General features: G+C 36.4%; 1 long non-coding RNA gene across 3 annotated transcripts; it reads right to left on the bottom strand.

Moving 5' to 3' along the window:
* Positions 1-729: 729 nt before the first annotated feature.
* Positions 730-27,442, bottom strand: LOC105378816 (uncharacterized). Of its 3 annotated transcripts, XR_947541.3 has the most exons (5): positions 27,042-27,442; positions 23,049-23,139; positions 8,744-8,844; positions 3,627-3,760; positions 730-1,355 (listed from the first exon to the last, which is right to left on the bottom strand). It is a non-coding gene; the product is annotated as an uncharacterized LOC105378816 (long non-coding RNA). The 3 variants fall into 3 exon arrangements; XR_002958324.2 differs by lacking the exon at positions 23,049-23,139 and having other exon boundaries at positions 27,042-27,441; XR_001738120.2 differs by lacking the exons at positions 23,049-23,139; positions 27,042-27,442 and adding an exon at positions 16,241-16,265.

Raw genomic sequence — 27,442 nt, 5'->3', positions numbered from 1 at the left:
AGAAAACCTACACATTGCTTTTTAAAATACTTTCGGTGGTAGATAGGCATGTCTATACATGACATTGCAAACTGAAAACAAAGATAAAAACTAGCAGATTTGACTACAACCACTTAATTAAGAAAATCCTTTGCCATAAAATACTATAAACAAATGAAAAGACTGACATAAAACTTCGGGAGCATTATTAACAAGAAAAAGAAATTAATGCCACAACACAGAAATGGGAAATAACCTAACAAGTATCTCATAGAAGGATACATATACATATCTAGTAAACATATGAATCCACCCCTGAAAAAATTAAAATAGGACCATTTCCCTCTCAAGTTGGTAAAAATTAATTTTTAATAATAATTTTCCACGTGGGTGTGGATGGGGGTGTGGGAGATGTGATATTTTCACACTGCTGGGCTGGTGGGTGTGTAATTGGTAATACCTATCTGGAGAACAATTTGATAATAGATATTTTGCTTTAAAAATTGTTACCTTGTTTTGTAAATATTTTTCTTTTACTCCAGGATATCTACACTAAGAAAGATACTATAATGGAATATTTACAAGTGTACATATTTATTTTGTAAGGAAATTTATTCAAGTTAATTATAAGAGTTAAATATTGGTAACAATCTACATCTTCCATACAAGAGGATGGCCATAATGGGTTGAATATGTAATTTTGTTACTTTATCCACGACACATAGTCCTGCACTGAAGCATTTGGGGTTGTTTTCAGAGTAGTCTGTCGTCCACACAGCAAATTAAGGTTTAAATTAAGAGCATAGATGGTAGCACATTCAGAAGCCTATGATAGCTCTCAAAATGAATTCCTGGGCTGTGTCTGGGAGTCTTATAGTTTTTGGCATAATGTGAATCTACTATATCATATAACTTGAACTCTGTCATGTCACACAGTAATTTATTTACCAACCATTTGGGTAAAAATAAAACTTCTCTTATGTCTCCCAGAACTGCCATCAAGAAGTAGCCTTCCTTGAGAAAACACTCATATTATTTTCTTCATTATTACCAACCATCATCATCATCGGGATGGTTTGTATTGTCTTTGTATGGTTAAGCTGTGACACAGAGTTCTCAGAAACCTCTTCCCTATAGAGTTATAGGTTACAGTTGGCCCAAAGATATACTTGCTTGAGATTTGGAGGGTTGGAAATGAAGCAACAGCCATTATCTTTTGAAGGTCGTTATAGTCAGATGTTGCTATAGACAGATGCAGAAGTGGGTTCCTGTTTCTTCTCATTCTCTTCTGCTTGATATGCAGCTCTTCTTCCCAACTTCTGACACTGTTGACCAAGAGCAGCTCCAGGCCTACCACTAAATGCCAGGTTGTGGACCTACAGTGGTGAGACAAGGACAGAGAAGATAACCTTCCCATAAGTATCCCTAAGAACTTTCCTTTCATAGTCTAAGATTAACAGGTAAAATATAAAACATTTATTTAAATTGTAATTTCAGATAAACAATAAATATTTTTGTATAAGTATGTCCCAAATAATGCAAGAGTTAATTATAGCAGTGAAATATTGGTAATAATCTATTATCTCCTAGTAAGGACAATCCTGAATGTGTTAGAGAATTAATTGTGGCATTTTATCTTCAAAGACATAGTCCTCCACTGCAGGGACATAGTCATCCAAAAAAAAAAAAAAAGGATTTATTTAAAATTCTAATTGAACTGAGCATCCTGTACTTTTTAATTTGTTGGGTCTGGCAATATTAGTTTTGATGAATTGATGGCCTTGGTTCATAGATTGACTGATTGACAACCCTTTCTCCAATCCTCCAATTCCCTTTCCAAACTTGAACTCCTCTAGCTCCTCCTTCAGTTCTACGAGCTCTACTTCCTAGAGTAAATCCTCTTCCCCACTACACTCACACTCTGCTACCCTGACTCTTGATTTTTATCATAATAGGAATGATGATAATAAAAACAAGAGTAAAATCTAAAGTTTACTGAGGCTTACTATGTGCCAGAGCCCCCTGCTAAGTACTTTACAATAATCTATAATAGTTACCATTACTTACTCCCATTTAAGTTACTGTTATTTACTCCCATTTAAGTTTAATACATATTAAAATTCAACTCATTTTTGTTACTGTTATTTACTCCCATTTAAGTTTCATACATGTTACAATTCAATTGATATGTGGCATTTAGATGCCAACTTTCTTTGATCTCAGATATTTTATTCTCTTCTCTTTTCCTGTTTTATTTTTTCCTTAAAGGCAGTGTGAAGTGATTTAGTTATTTCAGACATATGTATTTGATAGAAAAGGAAACTGAGGCACCAAGGGATTTAGAGAAACTTCCAAGGTCATATATTGAGTTAATGGAGCAACTGAGAGTAGAATTTACCATCTCTGAGAGCCCAAGGTGCTGTCTTGACTGTTGTGCTAAAAAGAAACTATATATCTTTAGAAGAGAAAGATAAATAAATCCCAATGTTTCAAAAAAAAAATCAACCTCCTTTCTATATCTTTCATGGAGACATTTATTCTTGGACCAAAAGTTCCAAATGTAACTTACTTTTTAAATTTTATATTTATTTTTAATTCAAGCTTATATGTTCATTTGTTCTTCTCACCAAATTGGATATTATATTCTTTGCACAACATATGCTTATGATCAATTTCTGACTGAAACTGGTTTTTATGTAAGTGCTCCACAAGCCTTGAACAATGGGTTTCATATGTAACCCAGAATAGATATTAAAATAATCTCTAGGAATTTCTTATTTTATCAGAATTTCTTCCTTTGAGGTGGGATTTGAATGAAAAAAAATGCAGAAGAGAAAATGGCAATTCTTTGAGCAAATGAAATAAGTTTGATATATAAGATTTCAGTGAAAGTAAAAGAATCAAACATTTATTCTAAACAAGTCAGACCTAGAGACTGTCTCATGGAGAAAAATGGAATTTCAATATATTTCTAAGCATTGCTATAAAATCTCAGGTGTAATAAAGATGTTTTTCATTTATTCCATAATTGATTAGATACAAAATTTCTAATAACAGTTGTTCATTTCCCCCCTTTTTTATTTGGGGGATATTTGCGATTGTGGCCAGTGCAAGTCTCTTTCTCCTAGAGATCAAACTCCCCTGTGCTCCCCCAATACTATTTATATATTATAGAATATTTGTTTTGTAGAAAAACTACTATTCTGGTAGTACTGTATCTAAAGTACAGAGCAGGAAAAAGAGGGAAAGAAAGTGGAGAAATTTGGCCAGACCCGGAGTACTTATCTCAAAAACCTGATATTAGTTTAATAAATTATTGTTTATCTTTATAATATTCATAAGAATATTCAATTAGATATAGTTATTTATAAAGCTTCTAATTCTCTTAGCAAGTCTGTCTTACAAGTTGCTTACGATATTCCAATAACAAAAGCAATTACAACCTTATAGTGTAGTGTTTCAGAACAATGCTTTTAGAACCATCTGTGATGAAATGAGTTCTTATTCTTTTCAATCCATTGGGGACCAATATTTCATAAATGACAATTAACACAGATTACTATAAAAAATGATCACATATTGACATTGAGACAATATCAAAAAGCTACATAAGTTTTCAAACACTTGTGCTCAATTTCTGCACTTACCTTGTTGTGCACAGGCACTGATGGATCACTCCCTGAGTGCCATTGCTTTAGAGTATAGTCTTTTGAATTTGATTGCTTGGGTTCAAATTCCATCTCTGCCATATTCTACTTGTCCTGTAACCTTGTTCAAGTTACTGAAATGTACAATGAAAATAATAATAGTACCTTTTCCAAAGTTCGCCATGAGGATTTAATGAGGTACTATATGAAACCCTGAGAAGAATATCTAGCATGCACTACAGGGTCAATAAAAGTAAATCGTTATAATTACTGCATGCAGTTTTACAATACACAATGTGCTTTCCCATACAACATGTCACCTATTCCCTACAAAATCTCTGTAGGGGTAGGTTAAAGAAGTAATGATTATCCTCTACAGCACAGTTGAGAAAACCAAGGGTCAAGTGTTTAAATGGTTGCTCAAGTGTTTAAATGGTTGCGCAGCTGGTAAATGGTAAAGCCAGGCATTAAATGTGATGCTGTTTCTCCCTTATTCCATCCTCCCTTTCAAAGTATGTCAAAGGCTACATGAAGTAGTCCTTTTCATCCAGAACAAAGTCTTCCTGCTCATTTCCTGAGCCTCTAGGTCCCATGACATAGCTTGACAAAAAACAGGACCATCCCAGCAATAGCAGGATCTCCCATCCCCTCTCAATTTGTAGACTTCTTCTATAGGAGGGGTTCTTGTTGACCTTGCACCTATGTTTCCTCTTCACAGCTACTGAGAGCAAGATGTGTACAATTTATGCTTTCAGCTCAGAGTGCTGTATATCTGGTTAATGTGATGGCAGCTATATTTCACATGTTGGAAACGTCAGTTGGAAAAGAAATTTCCAGCCCCAAGATGAGAGAAATGACTATCTCTTTTAATGTGTTGTTGGATGGTCTGGCTTACATTTTTTTTTCTTGAACATACCCAGATGATATGAATGTTTCTTCGGTTGAGGTTTGAATATTTTACTTCTTATAAATCCAAAGAAATGTTTATTTCTTCCTGTGGTTAAATTGTGCAGATGAATTCTCAGAGAGTAAGGAGCCTGAGAAATTCATATGGGACATTAAATGTTCTAGTAATTGTGATCTCTATTTGATCCAGAGACAAAGAACCAAACCCAAGATGTGTTAAAAAGAATAAAATTTCCCTGTGCTAGTAAATTTAAAAAGGAGTTACAAATGTAAATACTGTAGATGCATTTTCTCCAATAATGCCTTCAGGGTAAGTTAAATTCAGAAAAAAATGTTTAATTATACAGCAGCAAAAAATGAGCTTACTATAAACAAACCATTGTCCACTACTGTAAATAAGTTAATGAATATCCCATTAGCTATCTTATAAAACAAATGATAAAATGAGTTAAAAATTTTATGGAATAAAGAAATGTGAGTGAAGGTAAGCCAGAATCATTCAGAATTACATCTAAGTGCTACACTGTGTACAGGCATACCTCACCTTATTGCACTTCACTTTATTACACTTCATAGATACTGCAATTTTTGCAAATTGAAGGTATGCAGAAACTGTATCCAGCAAGTCTATCAGTATTACTTTGCCAAAAGCAAGTGCTTACTTCCTGCCCCTTTGTCACATTTTGGTAACTCTCACAATATTTCACTTTTTCATTATTATTATATCCGTTATGGTAATCTGTTTTCACTGATTTTTGATGTTCCTATTGTGATTGTTTTGGGGTGCCACAAACCATGCTCACATAAGACAGTGAACTAAAGTGATAAATGTTGTATGTGTTCTGACAGCTCCACCCACTGGCTGTTTCCCTATCTCTCTTCTCCTTCTTAGGCTTCCTTATTTCCTGAGGTGCAACAATATTGAAATTGGGACAATTAATAACCATGCAATGGTCTCTAAGTGTTCAAATGAAAGGAGTAGTTACACGTCTTTCACTTTTAATCAAAAGATATAAATGATTAAGCTTAGTGAGAAAGGTATGTCAAAAGCCCAGAAAGGCTGAAAGATAGGCCTCTTGAGCCAAACTGTTAGCCCAGTTATGAATGCAGAAGAAAAGAAAATTAAAAGTGCTACTCCAGGGTATTCACAAATTGTAAGAAAATAACCTTACTGCCGATATGGAAAAAAGCTTTAGTGGTCTAGAAAGATCAAACCATCCATAACATTTCCTCAAGCCAAAGTCTAATTTAGAGAAAGCCTTTAATCTTCAATGAAGGCTGAGAGAAGTGAGGAAGCTATAGAAGAAAAAGTTTGAAAGAAGCAGAGGTTGGTTGATGAGTTTTCAGGAAAAAAAAAGTCATCTTCATTACTTAAAAATACAAGGTAAAGCTGCAAGTGCAGATATAGAAGCTGCAAGTTATCCAGAAGATCTAGCTGAGATATTGATGGAGGTGGCTACACTAAACAACTGATTTTCAATATAGATGAAATAGCCTTCTATTGGAAGATGATGCCATCTGGCACTTTCATTGTTAGAGAGGAGTCAATGCCTGGTTTCAAATCCTTCAAAGGACAGGCTGATTCTCTTGTTAGGAGCTAATGCAGCTGGTGACTTAAAGTTGAAGCCAATGCTTATTTACCATCCCAAAAATATTAGGGTCCTTATTATTATGCCAAATCTACCTTCCTGTGCTCTATAGATGGAACAGCAAAGCCTGGATCTGTTTACATGATGGTTTACTGAATATTTTAAGCCCACTGTTGAGACCTACTACTCAGAAAAAAGAATTCCTTTAAAAATATTACTTCTTAAAGGTAAGGCACCTCATCATCCACAAGCTCTGATGGAGATGTACAATAAAATGAATGTTGTTTTCATGCTTGCTGACACAACATGTATTCTGTAGCCCATGGATCAAGGAGTAATTTTGAATTTCAAATCTTATTCTTTAGGAAATACACTTTGTAATGGTACAGCTGTCATAGTTAGTGATTTCTCTAATGTACCTGGGCAAAGCCAATTGAAAATATTCTGGAAAAAAAATTTATGATTCTTGATGCCATTAAGAACATTTAAGACTCATGGGCAGAGGTCAAAATATCAACATTAACCAGAATTTGGAAGAAGTTAATTTCAATCTCTATGAATGACTTAGTGGAGGACGTCACTGTAGTTGTGGTGGAAACAGCAAGAGAACTAGAATTAGAAGTGGAGCTGGAAGAAATGACTGAATTGCTGCAATCTCATGATAAAACTTGACTGGATGACAAGTTACTTCTTATGGATGAGCAATGAAAGTGTTTCTTGAGATGGAATCTGCTCCTGGTGAAAATGCTGTGTATGTTGTTGAAGTGACAACAAAGAATTTAGACTATTACATAAACTCAGTTGGTAAAGCAGTGGCAGGTTTTGAGAAAATTGCCTCCAATTTTGAAAGAAGTTTTAGTGCTGATAAAATGCTATTGAAAAGTATCACATGCACAGAGAATCTTCATGAAAGGAAGGGTCAATTAATGTGACAAGCTTCACTGTTGCCTTATTTTCAGAAATTGCCACAACCACCCAACCTTGAGTATCTATCACCCAGATTACCCAGGAGCCATCAACATTGAAGAAAGACCCTCCACCAGCAAAAAGATTATAATTAGCTGAAGGCTCAGAGGATTGTTAGCATTTCTTAGTAATAAAGGATTTTTAAATTAAGATATGTATTTTTTAATATGTAATGTCATTGTATACCTAGTAGACTACAGCGTGGTGTAAAAATAACTTTTATATGCATTGGGAAACCAAAAATTTTGTGTCAGTCACTTTATTGTGATATTCACTTTATTGTGGTGGTCTGGACCTGCACTTACAATATATCTGGGGTATGTCTGTAAATCAAATTTCTACAGGAATGAGTCCTTTAGAATGAAACCTCTCTCTTCTATCAAAAGTGTCAAGTAAACAAAATAACTCAGCCTCACTTGTTTGGGAGCAGCCCTGTATTCTCACAATTCTAGGCTGAGGTCAGGAGTGCTATAACAACTATGATGAAAAGTGAGAGTCCATAGAGCCCTAGACTCTTGTTTACCACACATAAAGGACTTTGCACCAGATAAATATAGGAAGTTCCAAGCATTGCACTGTTCGTGGACCAAAAATCCGAATAACCTTTAGTTTAAAGGCAAAACTGTCTCAGATCTAATAACTAGGGATTGAGAATGCAGTGAACATAGTTGAAACTCTATTTCATTAAAAATGAAGGGGGAGTACCATGGTGGTTATAATACTGCCTGCAATCTGCTCAAATATTTTCTTTGCTGTACAATCTCAATAGGTAACCCAAAATTTTCAAGCCAGAATAAAAACATGGACATACTTGAGAAAGATTAATTTGAGTTATTTTAGAAGTAGACCCTGAGGCTAGGGTTTGAAAAGTACTGGTTTACTTGGCAGGAGATCCCAGGAAGCATTGTTAGGAGAGTGGAGAACTGAGGCAGAAAAGAAAAGGCACAAAATAAAGAGTATATTTTCAAGCCAGTTACCAGTACGGCAAGGTAAATGGCAATTTCAAGTGGGAACTCTGGGGTCATATATGACAAGTGCCTAAGAGTTAGCTCAGATCAGGGGCAAAGGAGCTAAGGATTTGCATACTAAATCTAACATTGGTTGAGAGATACTGGGCATGGGGTGGGGGGTAGAATATATTTTAACACTTTCTGATCTGATGTCATGGTACCTTCAGGCAGTTGGAAGCCCAGTAGTTCCTTACAATGGTGAGATCTCAAGGAATACAGTTGGGACATCTACTACAATTTGTGAAGCCATATTTCCTTTAGATTTTGTATAGCAATTGTCTCAGTATCCTTAGAAATGTAAACACACATACACACACATTTGACTTAGAAATTATCTTCATTTGCTTTTAAACATAAGAGTATGACTAACATAAATACAAGAACTCTAATAGATTGATGCACAGGATGAAAAAGTGTAAAGAATAAATGCTTTGGCGTTAGATAGACCAAGATGTGGATCCTAGCCTTACCAGTCAAGTAATTTGAAAAAGTAATTTACTGTGTTTCATCTTCATTTTGTTAATCTGCAAAAAAAGCAAATAATTTGCATTTTGTTTTGTTGTGAGAACACAGTTTAAGCTCCTATCTCAGCACTTGAAATACAGTAGTATCTCAGTGATGATTAGCTATGATCACCAACACTCACCAGGACTACTACCATCAGCACTCTAATCAGTACCACCATCACCATCACCATCATCATCAGTATCATCAACTTTTCCTTGCAAAAAATACTTGGAGTTTTCTCTGCAAAAAAAAAAAAAAAAAAGGAAAGAAAGAAAAAAGAAAGGAAATATACCTCTTTTGATATAATAAAAAGAAAACAGAATAATCTTCAATCTTCAAAAATAGGTGAGAAGAACACAAGACTTCTCTGAAATGTGTCAATTTTTATTTCATTTAGCATTGGTTGTACAGCTGCTTGTGTTAGAACATTTATACAGGTACTAATGAACAGGTACTAACAGCTTCAATGGAAAAGAGTTGTGTGAATACTTATTTAGAAAATATTTAAAGTAGTCGTTATTGAGAATCTCCAATTTACCACATATTTTATGGCAATCTCTTTTCTAAAATGAATCAACAAGACTAAGCCATTATGTTAAAAAGCCATGCCTCCATACCACCATCTTTAGATACAGATTTAACAGAGCAATTCCTTTTGTCTCTTCTGATAATTACAATATTAAAGAAAATACTAGTCACCTACATAAAGGAAACTACACTGACTTGGTGTCACTCAGTAAGTTTACATACATGAAGTTTGGAAACTTTAGGTTCTCAAAGACAGAGTTACCTAAATATTAATACATTGTTTACTGAGGAGGCCTCTTTTTGCTTTGACAACTCAATGACTCAGATGTGAAAACCCCAGGAATTGTTTTACCTTAACTGAAATGTCCAAGGATTCTTTTTTTTTAAAAAAAAAAAAATCATCTCTTTTTTTATCTTTAATTTTTTAGAAATTTTTATTGTTTTATTTTTCCATAATTTATTGGGGTACAGGTGGTATTTGGTTACATGAGTAAATTCTTTAGTGGTGCTTTGTGAGATTTTGGTGCATCCATCACCTGAGCTGTATACACTGCACCATATTTGTTGTCTTTTATCACTTTCCCCCCTCCCACTCTTCCCCCCAAGTCCCCAAAGTCCATTATATCATTCTTATGCCTTTGCTTCCTCATAGCTTAGCTTCCACATATCAGTGAGAATATACAGTGTTTGGTTTTCCATTCCTGAGTTACTTCACTTAAAATAATAGTCTCCTGTCTCATCCAGGTCACTGTAAATGCTGTTAATTCATTCCTTTTTATAGCTGAGTAGTATTCCATCATGTATATATATACCACAGTTTCATCATCCATTCATTGATTCATGGGCATTTGGGTTGGTTCTACAATTTTGCAATTATAAATTGTGCTGCTATAAACATGCGTGTGCAAGTATCTTTTTCAAATAATGACTTCTTTTCCTCTGGGTAGATATGCAGTAGTGGAATTGCTGGATCAAATGGTAGTTCTACTTTTAGTTCTTTAAGGAATCTCCACACTGTTTTCCATAGTGGCTGTTCTAGTTTGCATTCCCACCAGCAGTGTAGAAATGTTCCCTGATCACCTCATCCACACCAACATATACTGTTTTTTGATTTTTTGATTATGGCCATTCTTGCAGGAGTAAGGTGGTATCACACTGTGGTTTTGATTTGCATTTCCCTGATCATTAGTGATGTTGAGCATTTTTTCATATGTTTGTTGGCCATTTGCATGTCTTTTTTTGAGAATTTTCTATTCATGTTCTTAGCCCACTTTTTGATGGGATTGTTTGTTTTTTGAGTTTGTTGTAGATTCTGGATATTAGTCCTTTGTCAGGTGTATAGATTGTGAAGATTTTCTCCCACTTTGTGGGTTGTCTGTTTACTCTGCTAACTGTTCCTTTTTGCCATGCAAAAACTCTTTTAGTTTTGTCCCAGCTGTTTATCTTTGTTTTTATTGCATTTGCTTTTGGGTTCTTGGTCACGAAATCCTTGCCTAAAACAATGTCTAGAAGGGTTTTTCTAATGTTATCTTCTAGAATTTTTATAGTTTCAGGTCTTAGGTTTAAGTCTTCAATCCATCTTGAGTTGATATTTGTATAAGGTGAGAGATGAGGATCCAGTTTCGTTCTCCCACACGCGGCTAGCCAACTATCCCAGCACCATTTATTGAAAAGGATGTCCTTTCCCCACTTTATTTTTTGTTTGCTTTGTTGAAGATCAGTTGGCTCTAAGTATTTGGGTTTATTTCTGGGTTCTCTATTCTGTTACATTGGTCTATGTGCCCATTTTTATATCAGTACCACACTGTTTTGGTGACTATGGCTTTATAGTATAGTTTGAAATCAGGCAGTGTGATGCCTCTAGATTTGTTCTTTTTGCTTAGTCTTGCTTTGGCTATGCAGGCTCTTTTTTTTTTTTTGGTTCCATATGAATTTTTGAATTGATTTTTCTAACTCTGTGAAGAATGATGGTGGTATCTTGATGGGGATTGCATTGAATTTGTAGATTGCTTTTGGCAGTATGGTCATTTTCACAATATTGATTCTACCCATTCATGGGCATGGCATGCGTTTCCATTTGTTTGTGTCATCTATGATTTCTTTCAGCAGTGTTTTGTAGTTTCCCTTGCAGCAGTCTTTCAACTCCTTTGTTTGGTATATTCTTAAGTTTTGTTTGTTTGTTTGTTTGTTTGTTTTGGTTTTTTTGTTTTTTTTTTTTGCAGCTATTGTAAAAGGAGTTGAGTTCTTGATTTTATTCTATGCTTGGTCACTGTTGGGGTATAGAAGAGCTACTGATTTGTGTACATTAATCTTATATCCAGAAACATTGCTGAATTCTTTTATCAGTTCTAGGAGCTTTTTGGAGGAATTCTTAGGGTTTTCAAGGTAAACGATCATATCGTCACCAATAGTGACAGTTTGACTTCCTCTTTACCGATTTGGATGTCCTTTATTTCTTTCTCTCGTGTAGTTGCTCTGGCTAGGACTTCCAGTACTATTTTGAAGAGGAGTGGTGAGAGTGAGCATCCTTGCCTTTTTCCCATTCTTAGAGGGAATGCTTTCAGGTTTCCCCCATTCAGTATTATGTTGGCTGTGGATTTGTAATAGATGGCTTTTATTACATTAACGTATGTCCCTTGTATGTCGATTTTGCTGAGGGTTTTAATCATAAAGGATGCTGGATTTTGTTGAATGTTTTTTCTGCATCTATTGAGATGATCATGTGATTTTTTAAAAAAATTATGTTTATGTGGTGTATCACATGTATTGATTTGTGTATGTTAAACCATCTCTGCATCCCTTGTATGAAACCCACTTGATCATGGTGAATTATCTTCTTGATATGTTGTTGGATTTGGTTGGCTAGTATTTTGTTAAGGATTTTAGCATCTATGTTCATCGACGATATCTGTCTGTAGTTTTCTTTTTTGATTGTGTCCTTTCCTGGTTTTAGTATTAGGGTGATGCTGGCTTCATAGAATGAATTAGGGAGGGTTCCTTCTTTCTCTCTCTTGTGGAATAGTGTCAAAATGATTGGTACCAATTCTTCTTTGAATGTCTGGTAGAATTCTGCTGTGAATCCATCTGGTCCTGGACTTTTTTTTGTTGGTAATTTTTAAATTACAATTTCAATCTCACTGCTTTTTGTTGGTCTGTTCAGGGTATCTAATTCTTCCTGATTTAAGCAAGGAGGGTTGTGTTTTTCCGGGAATTTATCCATCTCTTTTAGATTTTCTAGTTTATGGGCTTAAAGGTGTTCATAGTAGCCTTGAATGATCTTTTGTATTTCAGTGGTGTCAGATGTAATGTCTCCTGTTTCGTTTCTTAGTGCGGTTATTTGGATTTTCTTTCTTCTTTTCTTGGTTAATCTTGCTAATGGTCTATCAATTTTATTTATCTTTTCAAATAACCAGCTTTTTTTTCATTTATCTTTTGTATTTTTTTATTTTAATTTCATTTAGCTCTGCTCTGATCTTGGTTATTTCCTTTTTTCTGCTGGGTTTGAGTTTGTTTTGTTCTTGTTTCTCGAGTTATTTGAGGTGTGGCCTTAGGTTGTCTGTTTGTATTCTTTCAGACTTCTGGATATAGGCATTTAGCGCTATGAACTTTCCTCTTAGCACCACCTTAGCTGTATCCCAGAGGTTTTCATAGGTTGTGTCATTATTGTCATTCAGTTCAAATAATTTTTAATTTCCATCTTGATTTTGTTTTTGGCCCAATACTCATTCAAGAGCAGGTTATTTAATTTCCATGTATTTACATGGTTTTGAAGGTTCCTTTTGGAGTTGATTTCCAGTTTTGTTCAACTGTGGTCTGAGAGAGTGCTTGATATAATTTCAATTTTCTTAAATATATTGAGGCTTGTTTTATGACTTATCATACGGTCTATCTTGGAGAAAGTTCCATGTGCTGTTGAACAGAATGTGTATTCTGCGGTTGTTGGATGAAATGTTCTGTATATATTTGTTAAGCCCATTTGTTTCAAGGTATAGTTTAAATCCATTGTTTCTTTGTTGACTTTCTGTCTTGATGACCTGTCTAGTGCTCTCAGTGGAATACCGAAGTCCCCCACAATTATTGTGTTGCTGTCTATCTCATTTCTTAGGTCTATTAGTAACTGTTTTACAAATTTGGGAACTCCAGTTTTAGGTCCATATATGCTTAGGATTGTGATATTTTCCTGTTGGATAAGGACTTTTAGCATTATATAATGTCCTCCTTTGTCTCTTTTAACTGCTGTTGCTTTTTTTTTTTTTTTTTTTTTTTTGACGGAGTCTTGCTCTGTTGCCCAGGCTGGAGTGCAGTGGCGTGATCTCAGCTCACTGCAAGCTCCGCCTCCCAGGTTCATGCCGTTCTCCTGCCTCAGCCTCCCGAGCAGCTGGGACTACAGGCTCCCGTCACCATGCCCGGCTAATTTTTTTTTTGTATTTTTAGTAGAGACGGGGTTTCACCATGTTAGCCAGGATGGTCTCAATCTCCTGACCTCATGGTCCGCCCGCCTCGGCCTCTCAAAGTGCTGGGATTTTTTGCTTTAAAGTTTGTTTTGTCTGATACAAGAATAGCCACCCCAGTCGCTTTTGGTGTCCATTTGCATGAAATGCCTTTTTCCCACCCCTTTACTTGAAGTTTATGTGAATCCTTATGTGTTAGGTGAGTCTCCCGAAAGTAGCAGATAGTTGGTTGGTGAGTTCTTATCCATTATGCGGTTCTGAATCTTTCAAGTGGATCATTTAGGCCATTTACATTCAATGATAGTATTGAAATGTGAGGTACCATTGCATTCATCATGCTCTTTGTTGCCTGTGTACTTTTTTTTTTAATTTTTTTTTTTGGTTTTGGTTTTGCTTTTTAACTTGTATTTTGGCTTTATAGGTCCTGTGTGATTTATGCTTTAAAGAGGTTCTGATTTGATGTGTTTCCAGGATTTGTTTCAAGATTTAGAGTTCCTTTTAAAGTTCTTGTAGTGGTGGCTTGGCAGTGGCAAATTCTCTCAGCATTTGTTTGTCTTAAAATGACTATCTTTCCTTCATATATGATGCTTAGTTTCACTGGATACAAAATTCTTGGCTGAAAATTGTTTTGAGGAGGTTGAAGATAAAGCCCCAATCCTTTCTAGCTTGTAGAGTTTCTGCTGAGAAATCTGTGTTAATCTGATAGGTTTTCCTTTATAGGTTACCTGGTGCTTCTGTCTCACAGCTCTTAAGATTCTTTCCTTTGTCTTAACTTTAGATAACCTGATGACAATATACCTAGGTGAAGATCTTTTTGTGATGAATTTCCCAGGTGTTCTTTGTGCTTCTCATATTTGCATGTCTAGTTCTCTAGCAAGGCTGGGGAAGTTTTTGTTTATTATTCCCCCAAATATGTTTTCCAAGGTTTTAGAATTGTCTTCTTTCTCAGGGACAACGATTATTTTCAGGTTTAGTCATTTAGCATAATCACAGACTTCTTGGAGGCTTTGTTCATATTTTCTTATTCTTTTCTCTTTGTCTTTGTTGGGTTGGGTTAATTCAAAGACCTTGACTTCGAGCTCTGAATTTCTTTCTTCTACTTGTTCAATTATATTGCTGAGACTTTCCAGAGCATTTCACATTTCTAAAAGTGTGTCCAAAGTTTCCTGAATTTTTTTATTGTTTTTTTCTTTAAGCTATCTGTTTCCTTGAATATTTCTCTCTTCACTTCTTGTATCATTTTTTGGGTTTCCTTGCTTCGGGCTTTGCCTTTCTCTGGTTCCTCCCTGATTGCTTAATAACTAACCTCCTGAATTCTTTTTCAGGTAAATCAGGGATTTCTTCTTGATTTGGATCCATTGCTGGTGAATTAGTGTGATTTTGGGGGTGGGGGGTGTTGACCATCCTTGTTTTATCATATTACCAGGGTTGGTTTTCCAGTTCCTTCTCATTTGGGTAGGTTCTGTCAGAGGGAAACTCTAAGGCTCAAGGCTGTTGTTCAGATATTTTTTGTCTCACGGGGTGTTCCCTTGATGCAGTACTCTCCCCCTTTTCCTATGGATGTGGCTTCCTGTGAGCCGAACTGCAGTGATTGTTGTCTCTCTTTTGGGTCTAGCCACCCAGCAAGTCTACCTGGCTCCAGGCAGAGTCCTGTGATGTTAACTGTCTATGAGTCTCTCAGCCGTGAATACCAACACCTATTCCAGTGGAGATGGCGTAGGGTGCAATGGACTTCATGAGGGTCCTTAGCTTTGGTGGTTTAATGCTCTATTTTTGTGCTGCTTGGCCTCCTGCCAGGAGGTAGTGCTTTCCAGAAAGCATCAGCTGTAGTAGTGTGGGGAAGGACCAGTGGTGGGCAGGGCCCTAGAACTCCCAAGATTATATGCCCTTTGTCTTCCGCTACCAGGGTGGGGAGGGGAGGACCATCAGGTGGGGATGGGGCTAGGTGGTTCTGAGCTCAGACTCTTCTTGCGCGGGTCTTGCTGTAACTGCTGTGGGGGATGGGGATGAGATTCCCAGGTCACTGGACTTGTGTACCTAGTAAGATTATGGATGCCTCTGCTGAGTCATGCAGGTTGTCAGGGAAGTGGGGGAAAGTTGGCAGTCACAGGCCTCACCCAGCTCCCATGCAAACCGAGGGGCTTGTCTCACTCCCACCATGCCCCCTGCAACAGCCCCAAGTCTGTTTCCAGGTGGAGGGTGAGACAGGCTTGAAAACTTGCCTGAGGCTTTCCACCTCCCAGTTGTGAAAGAAAAGGGCTTTAGTTCTTCCTCCACCTGTGAAGTCTGTAAGCCGGATTCACACCCTCTCCCAAGTTCTGGCCAGGAGGCTTCTCACTCTGTTCAAATTGTTACAAAGGTCAGCTAGAGAATTCCTTCTGCCTGTGGAGTTTTACCCTCGGCTTCTCTGGCCACCCTCCTGATGGATCCCTATGGTGCCAGGCAGCAATAGGCTGCTTGGGGACCCAGCAAGCTCCCAGAGCTTTTCTGCTGCTTCCTCTACCCCTGTATTTTGTTCAGCTTGGCTCTCTAACCTGACTCAGCTCCAAGTAAAGTTGGAAACTTCTCCCGCAAACAGACCTTCAGCTTCTCCAGCGGGGGTGTGTGTTTGGGAGAGGAGGCTCTCCCTTTCCCACTTCTGCAGCTGGGGCACTCACAGTATTTAGGGTGTCTCCTGGGTCCTGCAGGAGTAGTCGCTTCCTTCAGAGGGTCTGTGGGTCCTCTTGGGATTTCTGGTTTGTTCTTGCAGTCGATCTGGAGGTAAAATTCACAATGCGAGCCTCTGCATACTGCTGTGTCTGGAGCAATCTAGTCCTGCCTCCCATCTGCCATGATCCCTAAATCTATCCAATGATTCTTGTAACGAATTTTTTTCTTTATTAATCTCATCTACTTCTACAATTTTACACACCATTGATACACTGGTAAGTCTCTAATTTTTATCACAAGCCCTGAATTTTTATTCGGTTTCTCACCTCAACTGACCCCCCATCTTGACATCTTCATTTAGATGACTAATAGCATCTCAATATTGCATAGATGAAAAACAGTAAGCTTTATTTCACCTTCTCTACTACCAGCTCCCTCCTTCTCAAAGTAAATCTTTGAGAATCATTTTTTGATTTTTCGCTTTCTCTCTCTCCTCATTTCCAGTCTATCAGCAAGTTATTAAAGTTTTTCCCCCAAAATATTTGGGAACCCAGTCTACAGATTGTCATGCCACTGTTCTTATTTATTCCAAGCCACCATCGTCTCTGGTTTGAACAACCACAATGGTCTACTCATTGGACTTTTTTTTTTTTTTTTTTTTTTGAGACAGAGTCTTGCTCTGTTGCCCAGGCTGGAGTGCAGTGGCGCAATCTCGGCTCACTGCAAGCTCCACCTCCCGGGTTCACGCCATTCTCCTGCCTCAGCCTCCCCACTAGCTGGGATTACAGGTGCCCGCCGCCACGCCCAGCTAATTTTTTTGTATTTTTAGTAGAGACAGGGTTTCACTGTGTTAGCCAGGATGTTCTCTATCTCCTGACCTTGTGATCTGCCCACCTCAGCCTGGACTTTTTTGCTTCATGCCCTGGAATCAATTATCAACCAAGACAGAAAGACATCTTTTTAAAAACTTGAATCAGATCCTATTGCTTTTCTGCTAAAAATTTCCCAGTGGTTTCAGCTCATACGCAAAATTAAAATTAAAAATTTTACCCAAACATTCAAGGCTCTACATGGCCCTTTGCCCTTGGAACTCTTTCACACACTCTCCCACTTACTTTCAAGTCATTGTAGCTTCCTGTTTCAGGGACATACCAAACTTCTTCCTGACTGTGAACTTGCTTGCTTGCCATCTGGAATATTTTCTCCAAGATTTTGTATGACTAGCTCTGAGCTCAAATATCATTCCTTTAGAGGGATCTATCTTGGCAACCCTATTAATATCTCCCACATACCCTCTTCAGTTGCTCTCTACCCATAACCCATTTTTTTCTTCATAGCAGTCACAGCTCTTTGAAATGGTTCTTTGCTTTATTGTCTGTCTTACCCACTAAAATGTAACATCTATGAGAGCAGCCAGTGACTGGACCCTAGGACTATAAATGGCACTCTCTGGATGGGACAATGTGCCCCTTCCATGTGGTTCTTTCTATGTAGATACATGATGCTCCCCTGTCTGCCAAAGGAGACTCTAATATGCTGCATTAAATTGATTATCTGGCCACTGCGAGTTTTCCAGGGCTTGTTTTCTGGCCCCTGTGGTTCAAACAAGTTATCTTACTGAAGGAAAGGGCACTGATAGTGAAAGTCAAAATAATCCACAACCTCAGTTATATTTTATCCCCATGTAGGGGTGATTAATCTGACTATAATATAGATTTTTTTTTACATCAAGCTAAGTCAAATGGCCATTTAGATAGTCTGGGACTTGGAGTCACCGTGGGCTAGCTAAGATTCTTTCGCAAGGGTAGTTTTATACAATGGAATGGCTTTTCAATATTGGCCAATGAAGAAGTGTTTCATCCTTACCAGCATTATGTTTTATAGAGGTTATCAACAAGTGGAAAAGTGGGAGAATCATTGTCCTGAATAGAGTAACAGGAAGGATGTTTGTATAAGGCACCCAAGTAAGAACATTGGGACCTTTTCTCTAGTCAGGTCAGAGCTCCCATAGTCTGACATAGAAGAGAGCTTCAAGTGTATTTTTTGAAATGTTTCTTCTCCTATGTATTCTGTTATCCATCCTCCAGAGTTTATCATAATCATATTTGTGACTAGCATTGCAACTACAAGTTGCTGACATGTTAGTGTATTCTAATCTGATCTATAGGTCTGATGTCTATAGATCTTTCTGATCTATGAAGTCCCCTTTTGTGATCACAGAGAAGGTTTAAACTGAGAATCAAAGATTAGTTTGTTTAAGACTTCTTTGCAAGGTGGCCTTCTACAAAATGCTATGAAAACTGGTCATAACTGAGTGCTTAAGGCAATCAATTTTGGTAGAAAGCTGAGGGGGTAAATTGGGTCAGCCATTCACCTTACCATATAAGGTGTAACTACAAGGCCTGAAGCCCAGCTTTCTGATCACACTAGGCGTATTAGCTGTCTATTGCTGCATAACAAATTTCCCCAGGACATAGCAACTGAAAGCAAAAAGGTTTATTACTTCACAGTTACAGTGAGTCATAAGGAGGAGTAGTTGAGCTAGAGGGTGATGATTTACTCCCTTATCAGGATGTAATCAAGGAGTCCAGTAATTTCAAAACTTGACTTGGGGGAGAGTCACTTACAAGTTCACACATGTGACTCTTGGTAAGATTTAGAAAATCTATTTCCAAGTTCAACTATGTGGGCTGATCTACAGGGCTGCCCCATGACATGGAACCTGGTTTCCCCTGGAGTGAACAAGACAGAGGGAGAGGGAGAACCAAAGATGGAAGCCACAGTCTTTTTATAACCTAATTTAGAAAGTGATATTCCACAGCATCCATTCCTTAGAAGTGAGTCAATAAGTCCAGCCTATACTCAAAGAATGGGATATTAAACAAAAAATATGAACATCAGGAAGTGCCGATCATTAGTGGGCCACCTCAGAGGGTGCCTATAACATTTTAGAAAGGTAGGTGATTTCCATACATGAATAGGTTGCTTATAAAATAGGGTTGGTTTCCATGTTGTGTTGCTGTTGGATGCTAGCCTCTTATACCAGTAAGAGTCAGTATCCTTTAAATTGCATGATTTTCCCCAATCATGTAATTTTAAAGTCTCTCACAAAGAATCTGACTTCCAGCTCCATTAGATTTCTGTGTGTTCTCCAAGAATGTGATGAACAATAAGTAAAATAAACCCGACTACCACTCCTGTCTCCATAATTTTCATGATTTTCCCTCATGAACTAGCTTCATTGTTAAGACTGGCTTGTTGCCATTTTAGCAGACATGGCATATGCTTGGTCTGGTCATTTGCCCTTGTTGATGGATTACTTTTTTTGTCTTAGTATTTTATGTTCTCTTGGTATTTCAAACCCAAACCTTCCTTAACTGGTGTACACAATTTTATTCTTACTAGATTAAATCCTATTAAATATTCTACCCATTATTTTCTTGAAAAAAAAAATCTCTTTGGGAGATTTCTGACCTGCTACGTAGCAAATGAATATGAGTTGGCTTTTCCTCTACCGTCATCCTGTGGATTCCTTTAACTTCCATCCTGTAATGGATTCCCTATTTCTTAGATTTCTTGTATTTCTCCTTCTTGGTTACTTTTTGTTGTTGTTTAAATTATTGGATTCTGTTTTCAGTAGCTTATTAAAAATGGTACATTAGAAGTAAAATTATTAGGCATTAGTATGGAACTCTAGATTAGAAATCATTTTTGCTCAGAATTTTGAAGACTTGCTCCACTGTCTTCTAGCTTAAAAAAAACTTCCATCAACTAGCCTCCATACCTTTGTATAAAAAACGTTTTTTGTTTTTGTTTTGCCTCTCTGCAAGCCAGTATCACCTTCTATTTGCCTTCAGCACTCTGATATTTCACAATGATGTGAGTTAATTCACAACCATTGTACTAGTTGCTTGGTGAGCTGTTTACATCTGGGAGCTCATGTCTATGTCCTTCAGTTCTATGACATCTTCTTGACTTATGCCATTGATAATTTCTTCTTCTTTCTTTTTTCTCACTTTCCGAAATATATATATCTTTAATGCTCTTGTGTCCTTTCATATTCTCTTTGATTTAGGAATTAACACCCAAAAAACCATTTGGGGCAAAAAGAAAAATAAAACACTTTTACTCTAATTTTAGCAGGCTTATATAAGGCAGGAAATGAGCAGAAATTAAATGTCTGTATTTAATCTATTATCTTGATCTGGGCAAACTAAATTATTTTTACATTGATTTATTGACAAATATAATTAGAGTGTTTTATTCGTTACATTTAATACACTTATTGATGTGATTGAGCTTATCACTCACTATCTTGCTAAGTTTTATGTATGTGCACCCTCTGATCTTTGTTATTCCTTTTACTGACTTATTTTGAGCAGAGTATTGTTTAGGATTCATTTTATTGTCCTATTTGATTTTTAGAGTCCCTTCATTACATTATTTTGTCAACAGATTACTCTAGATATTACAATGCACACACACAACAGACTCCTATGAATTAATATTTTACTACCTCGTGGAAAAAGTAAGAATCTTGCAACATGTGGAAAGAGTAAGAACCTTGCAACATTGTAATTTATTATATTTACACACTTCCTGTCTATTATGCTATAGTTATAATGAATTTTACTTTGGATCTATTATAAGCCTCACCAAAAAAAAAATTACTGTTTTTATTTAAACTGTGAGTTAACTTCCAAAGAATTTAAGAAAAAAATATTTATTACTACCCACATATTCATTATTAAATTTCTTCTCAGAGATCTGTACGGTTGGCCCTTCTCATCTGTGAATTCTGCATCTGTGGATTCATATACATGCAGATGGAAAATATTTGAAAAAAATTGTTGGGTCTGTACTGAACTGTATAGACTTTTTTTCTTGTCATTATCCCTTAATCAATACAGTATAACAACTATTTAGACAGCATTTACATTGTATTAGGTATTATTAGTAATTTAGAGATGATTTGAGGTATACAAGAGAAAATGTGTAGGTCGTATGCAATAATACACTTGTTATATAAAGGAATTAAGCATCTGGGAATTGTGGTATCCCAGGGGGTCCTGGAGACAATTTCCCATGGATATTGAGGGACAACTGTAGTTTTATCTGGCTTCATTTCCATTCAACTTGAGGAAACTGTAGCATTTCTTGGAGAGCAAATCTATATGCAACACATTCTCAAGATTTTGATTTTTCTGCAAATGTATTTATTTGGCTTTTATCTCTTAAGGACGATTTCCCAGTTTATATCATCCTAGGCTAACATTTTTTTTTCTTATAACACTTCAAAAATTGTTTTCTTATCTTCGATCTCCTAATGCTGTCATTCTTACTGTTGTTCCCCAGTAAGCAATAGTTCCCCCTCCCTCAACCAATTTTAAGATATTCTTTTCTTTTCTTTGGTTTATGTAAGATTGGTTCCAAATTGCCTATTTTTATTTTTTTTTTTGTTTTCTTTTGTATTTTTAAATATTTTTATTGCTTGGGGTGCTCTGATCTTCCTCTATCTATGTATTGAAAAAGTGACTTTTTACCCTTTTTCTTTATCTTCTATTTCTGGGACTCTGATTACATGTATTTTAGATTTTATACCACAAGTCATTGAGGGTTTGCTCATTTGTCTTAATTCATTTTATCTTTCTGTGATTCAGCCTCATATATCCTTTTTTTTTGTTGTGCTAAATATGCTGGTAAACTTATCCAATAAATTTCTTATTTCACATGCTTCTTTTTCAAGTCTAGAATTTCCATGTAGTTCATTTACAGTTTGTACCTTTTCCAAAAATGTACCCATCTCTTTGCCCATTTTTTATCTTTTCATTTTAAAAAGTCTTTTATGAAGGATGATTTGTTTTATTCTAGTGAGCAGTTTAATTATGGGTGGAAACTTCGTTTGGGCCTTTGTTGGGATAAGTCTACTTCTGTTTTGCTTTTGCCACTGGATATACAGTTTGGTGTCAAGTGAAAATGCAAGGTATTTACTAAGCCTTTCTAACTTGACAAGACTCCAACTCCAATCTCTGTCTGTCCGGTAATGGGCAGCTACTGAAATCTCAAAAAGTTCTTTAAACCTTCCACCTGTATCCTTCTGCTAGTGTCCCTGAAACCTTGCCTTATCTATGTGCAATTCAGGGTCAATTCAGGATTTGAGGGGAATTTGTGTGCATATTTGCAGTTGCTGCTTCTGTAGCTGCATCTTTCTGAGGTGTTCCCTTACTAGTTTCCCACTGTTCTAGTGGCGCTGAACTAAAAAAAAAAAAAAAAGAAAGAAAGAAAGAAAGAAAGAAAAAGGAAAAGAAAAAAGAAAAATACTTCCCAGATCAATAGAATTTCTTCTTTTTGTTTGAGCTCTATCCCTTCGTGAGCCACAAGACTAGTAGCATCCTGAGAGAAAATATAAGTATTGCTTGTGGATCTCCTCCTAGTGTGTTTCCTTCTTGATAAGGGTGATACCCTCTCTAGGTTCTGCTTTTGGTCATTCTCCAATGACTTCCATGATTGTTTTCTTTATTATTTCCTTAGTTTATAGTTGTTATCAGTAGGGGGGTTAGTCTAATCAAGCTGCTTCACCATAACTAAAAACCAAGATTCTCTCCTTGTGTTAGAGTTCTCCAGAGAAACAGAACTAACAGGATATGTATAAATAAATAAATAAATAAATAAATAAATATATCATTATACACATAATTTAAAATATGTAGCTAATATATACTTACATATAAAATTATATATAGTAATAGATATATAATATAGTATAATATACATATCATTTATATATATATAATTTATTATAGAGAATTGGCTCACATGATTATGGAGTCTGAGAGGTTCTATGGTCACATGGAAAGCTGGAGACACAGGAGAGATGACAGTATATTTCCACTCTAAATCTGAAGGCCTAAGAAACAGGAGACCCGATGGTGTAAGTTCTAGTCAAAAAGCCAACAGGCTCAAGCCATAAAGAGCAGATGTTTCATTTTGAGTCTGAAGGCAGGAAAAGACCAATGTCCCAGCTTAAACCACTCAGGCAAGAAAAGTTCCCTCTTACTCAGCCTTATTGTTTGATTGTGGTCTTCAATTGATTGGATGAGGTTCACCCACACTGGAGAGGGCAATCTTCTTTACTCATCTATTGATTTAAATTTAATCTAATCGGAAACATCCATACAGACACGATCAGAATAATGTTTGACTAAATGTCTGTGCACCTGTAGCCCAGTCAAGTTGACACACATCCCACACTCTTTAAATAGATTATAATTTAAGGAAGACAATTTTCTTAAGTACTTATTTCTTATGTTAATTTTTCTCTAGATATAAATTGTGCCACTCTTTGAAGGACATACTTTGGAATGGGTGGATTTCAACAATGTGGGTATACACAAGGAATAGGTGATATTCTCATAATAAGGTTATACATAGGCAAAACCTTACAGGCATTAGGCCAGTGTCTCAGTCCATTTAGTGTTGCTATAAAGGACTACCTGAAGCTGGGTAATTTATAAAGTAGAAAGGTTTATTTAGCTCACAGTTCTGTAGACTGTACAAGAAGCATGATGCCAGCATCTGCTTTGGGTGAGGGCTTCAGACTGCTTATACTCACAGCAAAAGGCTAAGAGGAACTGGTGTGTACTGAGATCACATGGCAAGGGAGAGAGGACGCAAGAGAGAGGCGAAAAGGGTGGGGGAGGTGCTGGGCTCTTTTTAACAACCAGCTTTCTTGGTAACTAATAAAGTAAGATGAAGACATTCATGAGGGATTTGCCTCCATAACTCAAACAATTCTAGTTAGGCCCACCTCCAATACTGGGGATAAAATTTCCATATAACATTTGGAGGGGTCGAGCAAGCCAAATATAGCATCCAGGCAGGCCCTATGCTATTTATTTACATTTTATAGTTTACTTTTCACGAAGTGCACATTAATGGGGAATAAGAGAATATGGTGAGCTTCACATGTCCCTTAATCATGGCAGTGACACTATGTCTCTGTGATTCTCTTGACTCTGCCCTGCTTGGGGTGCCAGCATTGTTCTCAGGGTAGCTTACTTTATAAGCTTATGATGGCTAATGAAATTCCAAGCTTTATATCCAGAGAGTATTAGTATCTCCAAATTCTCTTATAAAGTATTTGTAAATGTGCTAAATTATCCCTTAACTAATTCCTTAAATAAGATAATTCATGTAATGAGCTTAGCCCATTATTTGGCAGATTATTAACAAATGTTACAATTGCTACCAATTTTTTTTTCTTCTGACTCCTTCCATATTTTAGGTCACCCTCTTTACCCAGCATTTCACCAAAGCAAGGCAAATAGTGATCTTGATCTCTCCTGTCCTTTACCTAACATTTTCGTGTGAATGAATTTTACCCATTTTCTCAACCAGAAGTAATTTGTTGGGAATAGAACCAATTGATGGCAATGGTGACAGTGATGAAGGTGATAATCAGTCTAGTTTGTTGAGTGAATAATGGCTTACAAAGTGCTTTTAATTTCTGTAATTTTCCGTAACCCCTATACCAATGATGGTAAAATGAATCTCCCTTGATGGAATATAAGGCACTTTGGAACCTGGCTATTTATGGAAATATAGGGATTGCATAGTACCTGGTTCAAATCTTATGTAGGGAATTGTTTATTCTGCATTTGTAAGGAACAGCATGCTTGGGACTCATATGCATATTATAGTCCCAAAAGCTGTCCCAATTGCCTGTGATTGTCTCAGAGTTAGTTCACTCTCTGAATGGATGCTCAGGGTAAATTTTATCCAAAAACATTGTGAGCTTTGCTGCTCTCTATCTAAAATCCAGCCCTGAACTATCTTGTAAACTTAAAATGAATCACAGTTCAATTGTTTGTTCCTAGGTAGAAACTTAGTGTGCTCATATTCTTTGCAACAACAAGGAAAATAGCTATATTTTATCTCTTTCATCTAAAGTTCATTCATATATACTACCTCACTTGATCTTCACAATTCTGTCAGACAAGAGGAGGAAGTGGAATAAATATTTGTTACCTGCATAATATGTGCCAGACACCAGATATTAAAAATTATTAACATAAATATAAATCACTATGTAACTTTTGTATAGTCCTCATACCAAGTGCGTGACTTATATAAATTATTGATTTAACCTTCAAAAATTAAAAATTTGGGGCTCAGAGAAGTTAAGTGTCTTGCCCAATGGCATGAAGTGAGGAACAGGAGAAGCTAGAACTCAATCTGGGTTTTCTGACTTAAAACAACTGTGGATTTTGCATTATCACAATTGCTGCATCTGACACTAATGATGCACGTGAGAAATGAATCTCCTCAGCTTTTTCTGTTGGTTGGCACTTTAACATAGACACAGAGAATAACATATTATCTTCTTTTGCGTGTGTGTGTGGAAAGTCTTTGTTCATTTACATATGCTTCTATTTACAGATTCATAGTCTACACAGCCATGGCTGCAAGTATTCACTGGTGGGCCATTATGATGATGTTTGCTCTTTTTCACTAATATCATAAATGGGTATAAGGCTTGATAGCTCTAAGTGACAAAAAATATTTTTATAGGTATAGCAGACACCCATGTCTTTGTAATTAAGCTTGCCTGAAATAAGACCAAATGTGTGAACATATTAATGCTTTGTTTTGTACTGCCTCTTTTCATGTAATTTTATTAACATAAGGGGTGCCTTTAATTATGCAAAGCTACAAACTACATTATTGATATTCTATAAACATTCACTACACCCGCCTTTAATGAAACAAAAACAAAATGCAGTCTCTTATTTTTCAAGATTCTTAGAAAGGCAGAAAGTCTGGAGTATAAAATAAAAGGAGTTAGGGACTTGATCCTTGAGTCATTGCTATGTGTAGCCAGGGCTATGTGTGCCAGGATATACATGGGATAGTTACCCCCACCCACTATTTTACTTTCTGTACCTTCAGTTACCTGTGGTTCAGCACAATAGGATATCTTCTGAGAGAGACAGACCACATTCACATAACTTTTATTACAATATATTGTTAAAATTGTTTCATTTAACTATTAGTTACTGTTTCTAATATTTACTGTGCCTAATTTATAAACTAAATTTTATCACAGGTATGTATATATAGGAAAAAATATATAGCATCAGTAGAGTTCACTGTTATCTGTGGTTTTAGGCATCCACTGGGGCTCTGGGAACGTATCCCCTTCAGATCAGAGGAACTGCCATAGTCATTTTATTGTTGGAATTTCCCAGCTCCATACCTCCATACTGTATTTGGTTCAAACACAGTAACATATTTTTAAAAATATACTGGATACTGGAGATTTGTCATCTGATTCTACTTGGCACACTTTTGTTTTTTAACTATGTTATTCTGGTCCACTGGTAAACTTATGAGAATTTTTCAAAGGGGCTGACTTCCACATGGGATTTGATTTGGACTCTGAAACCTACAGACATTTGTTTTTTAACTATGTTATTCTGGTCCACTGGTAAACTTATGAGAATTTTTCAAAGGGGCTGACTTCCACATGGGATTTGATTTGGACTCTGAAACCTACAGTCAGGTTAAATTCTAAATGTATTTAAAGAAAGTAGCTTCCAAGATCAGGTATACTTAATGGCGTCTCACTGAGATTTGTGTTGCTTTATGCTGCTTTACCAGTTAAATTTTGAGAGAGAGAGACAGAGAATAGCCAATTGCAGTTATGTGGTCTTTACATGAACAACCTACTATAGATGAATCACACAGGAACCACAGAAAATATTGTGGATGGTTTTGAAAAAGAGAATCATAAAAATGATGACTACTCACCTGCAAGCTTAGGAAAACTACAAGAATTGAAAAATCAACAGGCTTTATCTTGCTTCACTCTGCTCCATCTATGGCACTACCAGACAAAAAAATCCTTATGTTAATATCAACTATGAAAAATTAAAAAGCATTTGAGTAAAATGACTTCCATTACTATAACTTTAATAGTGAAAAATATATATGCCACTGGAACCATTTTTATATTTGGGGCTTGGTTCAAAAATTTGTTACAAGTGTCTTTATGAGCATTTTTTATGGCATTGCACTTGTAAAGCTTGTGGTGCTTAGGGGACTGATCTTTTATTCATTCCTTCACTCAACAAATACATATTAGGTATTTACTCTTGGATAAAGAAGAGAAACAGCCATTCATAATCTCTGTGTTGTAAAGTTTTTGGTCT

The sequence above is a fragment of the Homo sapiens genome, chromosome 1, assembly GCF_000001405.40.
Source record: "Homo sapiens chromosome 1, GRCh38.p14 Primary Assembly".
In the NCBI taxonomy this organism is placed as follows: Eukaryota; Metazoa; Chordata; class Mammalia; order Primates; family Hominidae; genus Homo; species Homo sapiens.
Note: the sequence above shows the minus strand (reverse complement) of the source record. Positions and strands in the feature narration are given on the sequence as shown.